This window comes from Homo sapiens, chromosome 11 (genome assembly GCF_000001405.40).
Source record: "Homo sapiens chromosome 11, GRCh38.p14 Primary Assembly".
In the NCBI taxonomy this organism is placed as follows: domain Eukaryota; kingdom Metazoa; phylum Chordata; class Mammalia; order Primates; family Hominidae; genus Homo; species Homo sapiens.
The window spans coordinates 109791369-109805135 of NC_000011.10; the positions used below are offsets into that span (position 1 = coordinate 109791369).

Genomic DNA, 13767 nt, shown 5'->3' on the forward strand with positions numbered 1-13767 from the left:
CAGAACGCAACAATAGCAAGTTCCCCACAATGTCCCACATGGGGCCAAGACCTATATGCAAAATTCACTGTTTTTGTTTTGTTTTGATTGCTTACTTATTCTGTGCTCTGTGGCAAAAATATATTGTTGAGAATGCCAAAAAGGCCTGCAGCTACCCCTATGGGCAAGAGTACTTTTTTAAAAAGAGGAAGCATTTATGTTTATCTACAGCACAGAAAGTTAAGCTGTTGGTAAAACTGGACAGTGACATAAGTGTTAAGTGTGAAACATCTTAAATAAGAGTATGGTACTAGAATGACCACCGTATATGACCTGAAGAAACAGAAGGATAAACTGTTGAAGTTCCATGCTGAAGGGATGAACAGAAGTTAATGAAAAGTGGAGAAACACTGCCTAAAGCTAAAAACGAAGATCTTGATTGTGTATTACAAGGGTAAATCCATCAGTGTTGCAGTAAACACATGCCACTTAAGGACATATTGATCATGAAGCAAGCAAAGATCTATCACAATGAACTGAAAAATGAAAGAACTATGAATATTCAATAGGCTGCTTGAATTTAAGAAAAACACAGCATTCAGTATTTAAAGATTTGTGGTGATAAAGCATCTGCTGATCATGAAGCAGCAGATAAATTTATTGATGAGTTTGCCAAGGTCATGCTGATGAAAATATGCCACCAGAACAAATCTATAATGCTGAGGAAACATCGCTATTTTGTCATAGAAGGAAGACTTGACGGCAGCTGAAGAACTCCTACTGAATTAAGGATGCCAAGGACAGAATAACTGTTCTGGGATGTGCTAATGCAGTAGGCATGCCTAAGTGTAAACTTGCTGATAGGTAAAAGCTTGTGTCCTTCCAATCTGGTAAGTGAATTTCTTACCAGTCCGTTATTACCCTAACAAAAAGGCACAAGCCACCCAGGGACATTTTTTCTAATTGGTTTCAAAAACATTTTGTACCAGTGCCTTGTGCTCACTGCAAGGAAGCTGGACTGGATGATGATTGCAAGATTTTGTTATTTCCTGCCAACTGTTCTGCTCATCCTCCAGCTGAAATTCTCATCAGAAGTAAAGTCTATGTCATGTACTTTCCCCCAAGTGTGACTTCATTAATTCAACTCTGTGACCAGGGTCCAGATCAATAAGGAGTAAATACAAAACACTTTCTCAAGGAGCATACTAGTAGCAGTATGAGGAGGGGTGGGTGCAGATTGCAAAAAGGAGTTTAGCATCAAAGATGTAACTGCATCCCAGAAGAATGCCTCCTCATCCCCAGAAGACTTATTTCCTGGTCTCTCAATTGCTTCTAATGTTTCTTCTCACCTAATATAAAATAAAATAAAATACAGCATATAGTATCATTTTAATCAAAACTCAGCATTGCAGGTGGAGACTGGAAGCCTGCTGCTGCTTATTGTTGCTGTTATTTAACAGCTGATACAGGTATTCTGGTGATGCTACTGTGCTGCTTCCTTACACTGAACTTTCACTATATTATGTCATATTTCTTACTGTTAAGTACTTATGTGTGAACACGTGTAAGAAAATGACTCCTTTTGATAGAATATAAATTCAGAGTTAGGAATGATGGTGATGCTAAGCAACCACAGATCATCCACATGGGTGGCTGAGATAGCGACACCTTTGCTTTCATTTTTTTTAAGTTTTAAAATTTTTTATTTTTATAGATTTAGGGGTTACAAGTGCTGTTTTCTTACATGTATATTTTGAGTAGTGGTGGAGTCTGGGCTTTTAGTATGACGATCAGCCAAATAGTGTGCATTGTAACCATTAGGTAATTTCTTATCCCTCACCCCTTTCCCGTGTGAGTCTCCAATGTCTATTATTTCACTCTCTAAGAAATATTGTACTGTAAGGTTTTGTTTTCCATGAATTTGTGGTGGAAACCCCCATTTCTCACTTTTGTCTGTAGATCAAAGTAACTGAATAATGAGAACATATTTAGTAAACTGACAGCTTTGCCTTCTGATGGTTCAATATATACAAACTTTGTTTTGTGCACAAAATTACTTAGAATATTTTATAAAATTACCTTTGGGCTATGGGCATAAGGTATATATGAAACATAAATTAATTCCATGGTTTGACTTGGGTCCAATCCCCAAGATATATCATTATGTATATGAAATATTCCAAATAAAAAAAATCCCTAATCTGAAACACTTTTGTCTCAAGTATTTCAGATAAGGGATACTCAGTCTGTATTTGTATGTGAGGAAATAATATTCCTCCTTGAAAAGGAAGGAAGTTCTGACATGAATGAACCTTGAAGACATTATGCTAAGTGAAATAAGCCAGTCACTAAAGGACAGATACTGTATGGTTTTACTTGTTTTTTTCTTTCTTTTTACAAAAAAAAATTTCTGTGCTTTAATGGAGGAAAATGTATTATTTTATTTATAGGTAGTACCTAGACTAGTTAAATTCCTAGACACAGAAAGTAGAAGGGTGATTCCCAGGGTCACAGGAGGAGAGAGGAATATAAAGTTGTTGTTTAATGGGTACAGAGTTTCGGTTTGGGAAAATAAAAAATGTTCTGAAGATGGATGGTGGTGATGGTTGTATAACAATGTAAACATATTTAAGGTCACTGAACTAAACACTTACAAATAGATAAAATGATATATTTTATGTTGTATATATTTTACTACATAAAAATTATTGTGCTACTCCTTCCATACTATAGAGTTATTACAGTGTTTTAGTCAGTTCTGGATGCTATAACAAAATACCTTAGACTGGGTAATTTATGAATAACAGAAATGTATTGTTCACATTCCTGGAGGCTGGGAAGTCCAAGATCAAAGCTCTGGCAGATTCAGTGTCTGGTAAGGGCTCGCTCTCCAAAAATTGCACCTTTTATCGGCTTCCTCACACGGCTGAACACTGTGTCTTTACATGGTGGAAAGGAGGCGAGGCAGCTTCCTTCAACCTCTTTTATAAAGGCACCAATTCCATTCATGAGGGCACAATGCTCATTACTTAATCACTTCCCCCAAAGGCACCATCTCTTAATACTATCATATTGGTTATTATTTTCCATAATATGAGTTCTATAGGGACATCAGCATTCAGACCATAGCACTGGGGAATGGCTGCCCAGCCAGCAACTACATTTCCCAGATGTCCTTGCATGCTGGTGGGCCATGTGAATAATTCTCCCCAAGGGAAACTGTGCGGAAGTAATATTATGTATCTTCTGCAAAAAGGCAGTTAAGAAGCGGATGTGCCTTCTCCAACCTCTTTTTCACCATTTGCTGGCTATTGTCAGAGAATGGTGAGACTGTAGATCAGGGAGAAATCATGAGACGGAAGAAGTCTGGGCCTCTGAGTCACCATGTCTTAGAAAATTTCACAGGACTTAAGAGGGTGAGAAATAGAATTTTATTGAAATGCACTATTGTTTAGGAGTTTATTGTTATAGTAATCCTTTCCCTAAATATACCAGTAGGGATTTGTACTCTGTCCCATGTAACCTGGGGAAATGAAAGGGCAGACCCAAAGGTTGAGCACTACTAGTGAAGACAAGGCCAAGAAACACTGCCATGAGAGACCCAGAATGAGTGTGAGAGTGCTAGAAAGCAATAAATACCGTGACAGACATGGAGGTTGAATGCTTTTACTCCAGTAAAAGGCAGTCTAATCCATTTGTGGTGTGACCAACCTTGAGCAGTGAAAATGAGACCAAAATAAAATTAACACGCAGAACTTGTGATCTGGGGAAAAAGCTAAGAATCAGCTTCCAAATTGCAGCAAGAAGATGATGGGAGGATCACACCAAGAAGGTCAGTCTCTAAAATTGCATCGTATAATCAACCATTAGTGCTGCCATAAAAACAGCCTCTGAGTCTCTTTCAACTATACTTTTATGACTGTCTCTTACTTGGTTATATATTTAGCTTTATAAGAGGCCTGCTGTCTCAAAGTGCCTTGAGTTAGGCCACAGGGAGTTTGGGAACACAAAAGCGTTGGTTAATATTAACTTTCACATGATTATAAGTTGGAGTATGTGGTGCAACTCTTACAGAACATTATGAATGATGACCCAGAAGCGAGGGACCAAGGGCGCTTTATTGACCTCAAACCTTCTGCCAATGGATGACATCATTATTCATTTATTTGTGAGTCACATTTAGTAGGTATCTTTCTTCTGAAAGTGCTTGTGTTTTTAGCTTAAAATAACAAATAGAGCATTTAGATAAAGCAGAATCAGAGACGGGAGTGCTTGTATTAAAAGTGAAAAATAAAACATGGCTGAGTGCTATGGTGTCCCCAAAAAGGTTCCAGGGCTGTCTTTCCTATTGCCTGTTTTCAGTGGTGCTTAGGCAGAAAGCAGACAAATTTTAAAAAATAAATAAATAAAATAAAACAAACAAACAAAAAACAGTATGCAGTCCCAGTCAAGGATGTAAGCCAGCAGAAGTTTCCAAATGTGGATGCTATGAAATAGATGATTCTTCAAGGATTCACCACCCCAGAACACAATGCACAAAGCAGTACGTCAGAGATAAAGGAGCCCACAGGATGAGAGTAAGTTTTCTCATTTCAGGGATATAGTGGAATAAGTAAAGATCCCATGTAAAACTAGGTTTGGATACCAGGTCAGACAAAAAGTTGAACCTGAAGCAAGTTTTAATCGACACCTCTGTTTAGTAATACTCTAGATGTGAAGGTACCCAGTAAAGTGGCAGGTGTTTACATAGGTGTCCAGATAGGTCACACTGAGATATGTGCTGTTGTAGACTCTCATGCCATTGATATGTATCCTCATCCTCTCATCCATCTGGGACACAGGAACCCCACTGTTAAAAACAGCTCGCACCCTGCTCATAAGAAAGTCTTGGGCATATAAAGACATATTTGAAGGACGGAGAGAATGTACTAAAAGAATCCAGCTTTCAGAGAGGACCTGCACTTCAGAATGGGGAATCCCCATAAGTGAGGGAGTCAGGCAGGAGCACCCTTCTTAACAATCACATCTGACAGGAAACAATGTTTCTAAACACAGCATGAAGCTGTTCTTGAACCTGCTTTGATCTTCACTTCTAGGGAGTACTCATGGACCCTGGGATACAGAAAGATGAAAGAACCCTGTCACTGAGTCACCAAGTGATTACATTAGGAGACCCCACCCATATACAATTCTCACAGGACATGAAAAGAAGACGTAGTTCCTCACCTATCAGAAAGAATGGCAAACACCTGACACCAAGCAGCAGGTGAGAAGGTAAGGGCACAAAAGATGCTACCTCAAGGAATGCGAGAGGTTGCCACTAGACCAAGGCCACCATATGAATGCCTGGATCCAAGGCAGCAGGCTCATGAGGGTGGTAATACATAAGGAATCCAGAGACAGATCCTGGCCAAGCTGTACCAACACAGAATCAACCCTGGAGGAGACTCACAGGTCATAGAGGAAAGTAAGAGTAAAGAAGTTCAAGAATGATCTAGGTCAGTGGTTCTCAACCTTTGAGGACTCAGGATTCCTTTACAATTTTAAAAATTATTGAGTACCCCAAAGAAAATTTATGTGGGTTACATCTATTGATATTTACTAAGTTATAAATAAAAACAAAATTGATAAACAGATTATTTATTCACTTAATAATAAAATCCATTCCATATTATCCTTATGAAAAATAGCTACATTATCCAACCCAAAAAATAAAAATTGAAAAAAGTAATGTGTTTCACATTTTTGCAAATCTCTCTAATATCTGACTTAAAAGAAGATATTTGGATTGTTACATTGATTTCAACATTCAATTTCTTCGGATATTTTGCTTTATTTGAAGGACATGAGGAAAAACTTTTACAGACATGTAACTGGAAAATGGAGAAGTATTTTAATAGTCTTTTCAGGGAACTATGAATAGTCTTCTTTGATACTACACCAAATTTCAACAAGTGTTGGTTCCTTACAGATTAATTGCTGTGGAATCTAGAAACATATCATTGTGCTTATCATACTCTGTTACATTAAAATCTATCGGTTTATCTCGCACATTTAATGAAACTTTTACCCATGCATGATCTTCTATCATGTATCAATCATTTAGAAATTGTTGATTCATTGTTATGAATATTAACATATCATTATCTGCTATCAAAAAAACACTTTTTAAATATTTCCATTGATCTTTTCAGAAATGTCTTTAAGTATGAGGAAGCAGCCAAGCTCACAGTGGCAGATGCAAGTTTTAATTTTCACTTATAAGACAAAATTTTCTTATTGGCAACAAACAAAGGAAAATTGTCAGTTGTTTTCCCTAAAGGGAAAGTCTTACTTTGTTCATTTTTGAGGAAATATCTGCCAAATACCCAAGTTTAAACAACGATAATTTTTCTGGCAGTCATACTTCCAAGAAAAAAATGCTGTTCCACAAAAAAAAAAAAGACAGAGAGAGAGAGAGAAAAAAACGTCTATCCTGGTTTAGCTCACAACGCAAACAACTGCATAAGTGCTTTTCCCTAAGACAAGAATTGTACTTCAATGTGCAGCAGAGTACTTTACACACATTTCTTATGTCATCACCCAGAAGATGTAAATGATACATACTCAAGGTTCAAGGTTTAATAAAATTAATATCTCTTACTGCTTCATTGAGGGAATTTTTCAATAAAACTGATTTTTTTTACTGTGTGCGGCAGTGAAAAATACAATGTTCCTGTAAAAATTGGTGTTTCAGGCTTGATTCATGCTAAGGCGCCAGCGCTTTTATCCACCATTGATTTTGTGCCATCAGTACAAATGTCAACATAGTGAAAATGAAATCTAGTGCTTCCATGTTATTATGAAAATTTTTTGTTTTCATATTATTATGAAAATAAATTACGGACTCCCTGAAAGGACTTTGTTGAAGTCTGTAGAACACACTTTGAGAACTACTGATCTAAGTCATTGGTTCTCAAACTTGGCTGCCTATTAGAGTCACCTGAGATGTTTTAAATATTGATGCTCAGGCCACATCTTTGACCAATGAAATCAAAATCTCTGGGTATAGGGTCCTGGCATCAGTATGTTTTAAGCTGTTTTGGTGATATCAGCATACATCCAAGTTTAAAAACCAGTGATGTAAGTCCGCTGTCATTCACATTCCTATGGTATACTAAATGATAGAGGTATGACAGCTCTGAGACCCCAGGAAGCACCAGCACTTTCAGTTCAGTTCAGTTCACCACCATAGGGTGGCATCTATGCAGAATCCTGGAGGATAATTTTTGTCATGCCTGGATTCCCAGTCGTTGGCCCATTTATCACCAATGTTGCTAAATATACAGTAGCATGTGTTATGGAAGAATGCATAAAGCACTGGTCAAGGATTCAAGCCAAGTACTCTAAAGCTAACTCTAATATTTATTAGCTTTGTGGTTTGGCCAAAATACTTAGCTTCTTTGCTTCCTTATCCTAAAAATGGTGATGATAATAACAACATCTATTCTCAGTGGGTGGTTAGGAGGATTAAATGAGCAAATATATGGAAACTCTTAGAACAGTTCTTGGCACATTGGAAGCACTAAATGTTAGCCATTAATACTATCCACTGAAATGCAACTTTCAATGATATATCAAAAGTAGCTATCAGACAATAAACATTTCTTGAATAAATGAATGTAAAAAATACCACAATTAGAGCAAAGGAGTTATGTCATGAAGTCTGGCTTTATCACTTACTGTATTAGCTTGGTAAGTTATGTAAACTTTCTGAGTTTCAGCCTTATCCATAAAATGTAGATTGTGGATTCAATGGTATATGGATATAAATTGCTACATAGTAGGTGATCAATCAATTATAACTTTTAACATTTTTTAATCATCTAATGTAAATCACGATTCTCTTCGAGTCTTGAATTCAAAACTCTAAAGTGGGAATGATAGTTTCCATTAAACTTATTTCAAATTTCAAATGATGAATATGTAAATCAAGCCAAGTGTGTAATATATGTGCTACAGAAACAGGAGGAAATATGTGCTATATGTGTTGAGTGTTCTTGTAGAACTTTCTCTCCCACTGGTCCACCACAAGGCCTAACATTCTCACCATTTAAAACACTGTTCTATCCTAAAGCAATTTGTCTCCAGAAGGTCCTCGTTAAAATGTACATGGAAAGGATAATGTATAAATCTTAGCTTTTAATTACCACAATGCTCAAGCTAATTAATGATGATCTAATACATTTAGATTTTAGAAATTCTGTAGTATTTCCTAGTTGAATGACTAGAAATGACAAATTATAGTTTAAAAGGGGAGGAGAAAGAGGAGAAGTGGAGAAGAAGAGGAAGAAACATGCTAACATTCTATTTCCCTCTTGTCTCCAAGACAATTAATAATTGCTCCAAGTAAAATGCAGCAAGTATAATTGTTCCATTTTATTTGGAACAATTATTATTATTAATTATTATTATCATGCTATATTATTACTATTATTTTACACTATTATTGCTACCATTTTAATAATAAGGAAATGAAAGTTTTGAGGCATTAATGTGATTCGTCCAACATATGCAGATAATAAGTGACAAGACTGGGATTCAAATCAGATCTGATTCCAAAGACACGGTATTACAGGCCACATACAGTCTATGATAAAGTAAACTTGGAAGGGAACAGGAGGCAAAGTGAGGTCAGGGAAGGCACAGGATCCCCTAACCACAGAACTGAAGAGATTGAGGAAGATAAGAACAGAATGATGTGGGACTTGCAAAGTGCTTTGACAAGAAAGATCTAACAATAGCATTGAAGATCTGCTTTAAAATAACCCAAAAAAGGATGAAACAATCAAGTACACTTGCTATGGTTGTTGCAGATTTTAGAAGATAATTTGGCTCCGAATTGTCTATACAATTTCATCTTCCACTCCTGCATGCTGCCAGCCCACCAAATCAGACCTTCCTTTACTACTCATATTGCCCTCTGTCTGAATGCTCTCCTTTCTCTATTTTTTTTATTAAATTTTTTTATTTCCATAGGTTTTGGAAGAACAGGTGGGATCTGGTTACCTGAGTAAGTTCTTTGGTGATGATTTGTGAGATTTTGGTACACCCATCACCAGAGCAGTATACACTACACCCAATTTGTAGTTTTTTATCCCTCACCCCCTTCCCACACTTTCCCCCACAGAGTCCCCAAAGTCCATTGTATCATTTATGCCTTTGCATCCCCATAGCTTAGCTCCACTTATGAATGAGAATGTAGAATGTTTGGTTTTCCATTTCTGAGTTCCTTCACTTGGAATAATAGTCTCCAGTCCCATCCAGGCTACCGCAAATTCCATTAACTCATTCCTTTTTACGGCTGAGTAGTATTCCATCACATATATATACCACAGTTTCTTTATCTACTCTTTGATTGATGGGCATTTGGGTCCCTAGTTCTATCCATTGTCTACAATTTCTCTCAAAGTCCAGGTCACGTCCTCTCTCCTTTGTTAAATTTACATATATTTTCCTCTTTTTTCAACTCATGTTGGTTCTAAGTCAGGTAAGATATATTTTGGTGTTTATTTATATACTAAATTGTCTCATATTTTTCATTGATTGTTTTTGACTCTCTAAACTGAAAATCTACAGGGCACAGACTCTCTTGACTAGTTTTCAAAATGCAAACAGCCTTATTGTGCAGTTTGTAGTAAAATTTATACATGAAGTAGAAAGAAATATATTCATACGAAGTCCCATCAACTAGACACGTAACTATACGAATGTTTGATCAATAAGCTTGAAGACAATCCATTCTTAACACACACATCCCTACATAAAATATTAAATAAATTTGTTCACCTATTAACAGCTTTTTAAACCTTTTTTTATTTAATAATTCTTTATGTCTATCTTTTCATATGGATAAATCTAGAATTATATCATTATTTATAATGCCTATGAAGTTTGCAGTTGTATGGATATGCACATATTGATTTAGTCAATCTCCCATTGAGGGGCATTTAACTCGTGTCTAAATTTTGTTATTATAAACAAGCCTAAGACAAACAACTTGATACACGTGCCTCTTCATAGTTTTCTCATAATCTCCTTAGAATAAATTCCTAGAAGTATAATTATTTGATGAGATCGTTTCATTTTATTTCTATTCCCATATAATACTGTATACAGACCTAAGCACAACAAAATACAACCTAGAAAGCCTGGGGGTAAATTCAGCCTGACAGATAAAGTCTCTAACAGACAAACATGGGATACCAAACACAAATGTAGATAAATTTCTCTGAAAAAAATCTATTGAGTGTAAGTCCCAACACCCTGTGTCTTCCCCCCAAAAATTTCTTTCTTTTTCATTCAAGGGAGAGTTTTCAATGTTAATGAAAAAATGGAACTAGTTAACAATTTGCTGGTAAGGAAAAAGTGCTTGGAATGGGGCTCCTGTCAACTAAAACTGCTGACAGAAGTCACAGAAACCAGTAAGGGAAGATGATTTCTTTGCATTCTGATTTAGAGCCCAAATGCATTTTCCTCTAAAGTCCCAGGGATCGAATCAAATGTCAGTGTACAAAAATCTATTTAACCTAAAATGTACGTGACTGTGTTTATAATACAATGTCAATGATGTAGATTCAAATTCATTGCATTGTTTCTATCGAAATATACCCTGCATCACAACCACCTACATTAAAGGAAAAACTTTGTTTTTTCTTTCTCTACTCTCAACACTCACCACAGAACACTTCTGTGACCAAATGTTGGGGGGGCGATTTCTCTAATAATCAATTCTCTGACACCAACTGGGTGCCCTACAGTTCAATTCAATTCTGACATTAGCCACCTGGAGTTGTCTTCTGATCCCACAAGTCAAGGTCTCAGTCCCACAAACCTGTTCCTTCCTGCCTCCCACTTGCCAATTGCAAATCCAGGCCTCTGGTACCGGTACTTCTGACTGACCAGCTATAAATTGGGGATTCTCACAATCCCCTCCTCTGGTTTGGTCATTTGCTAGAAGGGCTCCCAGAACTCAGGAAAACACTTGACATATGTTCATCTACTTATTGTAAAAGGATGCAAATCAGGAAAGCCAGATGGAAGAGATAAATAGGGCAAAGTATAGGGGAAAGGGACATGGTGCTTCCATGCTCTCTCTAGCAGTGCCACCTTCCCAGCACCTCCTCATGTTCAGCAACCTGAAAGCTCTCAAATGAACCTTCCAATGATAAAATTCTATAATACTGTGAATCCTTAGCAGATTTCCTGGAGATAACTCCTCATTGAAGAATATTTACTCTGGGCTGGGACCCAATTAGACTATGTGAAAATAGATATTAAATGACTTGGGAGGAACTTTTTGTAACCTTAAAGGTAAAGTACATTTTTATGCTAATCATAATTACTAGAGTGTAGAAAGGAGGAATAACTCACCTATAATGAAATTGAATTTGAAACAGATTGTTTGTAAATATCTTCTAAAGTAAAACTTTTTGACAAGATTCCCACCATCAACCAAAATGGAGAAACAGGGACCAGGGAACAGATTTACTCTACCATATAAAATAGTTAAAAAAAAAACTGGACAAAATATATGAAAATACAGTTTTCAAGATATTGAACATCAAGAAACAAAGAACAGCGATCTGTGAGACTCAGAAAACCAAGGAAGTGAGCCCTAAAATTTCATCAGCTTATTTCCTGGAAAGAATATCCCATGCAGTGGCACAGGGAGGAAGAAACTAAAAAGATTCCAGAAAGTTCTCTGCGTTAATAAGACAAAGCAGAAAAAAAAAAAAAAAAAGACTAGACATTACAGTGCAGAGTACTAGGGAAGAGAGAACTTCAGAGAGAATGAAAGACAGAGCGTGCTCCTGAGATATGCAGCGAATCTTCCTGAATCTTCAGCTGGGTACTAATCAATATGTATGAAAAGAGACTACCCAAGGCTAGAGAATCACACCCAAAATGATTAGAGAGAACAATCTCTGTAGACCACACAGGGCCAGAAATAGTTGCTGTTGTCACAAGCCAGAGTGGAAAATCTTATCAAGTAACAGGACGTTGAATAGAGTAAGCAAAGCTATTTTGCTTCAGTAGTGGAGGAAAATTAACCCTATCTTAAGTATGCTCGGCCCCACCTTTAAAAGATTGAAAAAAAAAATCATTACCAGAAATGATTGAACTGTTTCAAATAAAATTTAGCTACATCCTAGAACTACAACAAGAGTATATATAGGAACAAAAAGTGTTCCACACCTAACAGGTTAAATTCACAATGCTTAATATCAAATCAAAAATTACTCAGTCATGAAAGAAAGCAGAAAAATAAAACTCACAATGAGAAGAAATATTAGTCTCAGTTAGAATCACAATGAGAAGAAATATACCAATCCAGAAATGCCAACAGTGATAGAATTAGTATAAAAGAATAATAAAACACTTCAAAATGGTACTATGTATGTTCAGGAGGCTAGAAGAAAGACTGAACATCTTAATTTGAAATTCAGAAACTTAAAACCACAATGAGATATTGCATTAGTCCGTTTTCATGATGCTGATAAAGACACACCCGAGACTCAGAAGAAAAATAGGTTTAATTGGACTCACAGTTTTACATGGCTGGGGAAGCCTCAGAATCATGGCAGGAGGTGAAAGGCACTTCTTATATGGTGGTGGCAAGAGAAACTGAGGAGAAAGCAAAAGTGAAAACCTCTTATAAACCCATCAGATTTCATGAGACTTATTCACTATCACGAAAATAGCACAGGAAAGACCAGCCCCCATGATTCAATTACCTCCTACTTGGGTCTCTCTCACAACATGTAGGAATTCTTGGAGATACAATTCCAGTTGAGATTTGGGTGGGGACACAGCCAAACCATATTATTCTGACCCTGGCCCCTCCAAATCTCATGTCAGCACATTTCAAAACCAATCATATCTTCCCAAAATGTCTTAACTCATTTCACCATTAACCCAAAAGGCCACAGTCCAAAGTCTCATCTGAGACAAGGCAAGTCCTTTCTGCCTATGAGCCTGTAAAATCAAAAGCAAGCTAGCTAGTTCCTAGATACAATGGGGGCACAGGAATGGGGTAATTGCAGCCATTCCAAGTGAGAGAAAATGGCCAAAACAAAGGGGTTGCCAGGTCCATGCAAGTCCAAAATCCAGCATGGCAGACAAATGTTAAAGCTCCAAAATGATCTCCTTTGACTCCATGTCTCACATCCAGGTCACACTGATGCTAGAGGCAGGTTCCCATGGTCTTGAGCAGCTCTGCCCCTGTGGATTTGCAGGATACAGCCTCCTTCCCAGCTGCTTTCATGGTCTGGCTTTGAGTGTCTGCAGCTTTTCCAGGTGCACAGTGCAAGCTGTCATTGGATCTACAATGCTGGGATCTGGAGGATGGTGGCCCCCTTCTCACAGCTCCACTAGGCAGTTCCCCAGTAGGGACTCTATGTGGGGGCTCTGATCCCATATTTCCTTTCCACATTGCCGTAGCAGAGGTTCTCAATGAGAGTCCCACCCCTACAGCACACCTCTGCCAGTACATCCAGGCATTTCCATACGTCTTCTGAAATCTAGGCAGAAGTTCCCAAACCTCACTTCTTGACTTCTGTGTACTCACAGGCTCAACACCATGTGAAAGCTGCCCAGGCTTGAGGTTTGCATCATCTGAAGCCACAGCCCAAGCTCTATATTGGCCCCTTTCAGTCTTGGCTGGAATGGCTAGGACAGAGGGCACCAAGTCCCTTGGCTGCACACAGCACCAGGACCTTGAGCCTGACCTGCGAAACCACTTTTACC

General features: G+C 37.5%; 1 long non-coding RNA gene across 12 annotated transcripts in view; it reads right to left on the reverse strand.

The window, feature by feature from the left end:
* LINC02715 (long intergenic non-protein coding RNA 2715) overlaps positions 1–13767 on the reverse strand; it is an 82249-nt gene that overhangs the window by 49744 nt on the left and 18738 nt on the right. For 4 of the 12 annotated variants that reach the window (NR_187371.1, NR_187372.1, NR_187376.1 and 1 more), the window contains exon 3: positions 12568–12645. The exons of the other annotated variants lie outside the window; for them this stretch is intronic. This is a non-coding gene — a long non-coding RNA (long intergenic non-protein coding RNA 2715). The remainder of the gene's footprint in view (positions 1–12567; positions 12646–13767) is intronic. 12 annotated transcript variants of the gene reach the window in all.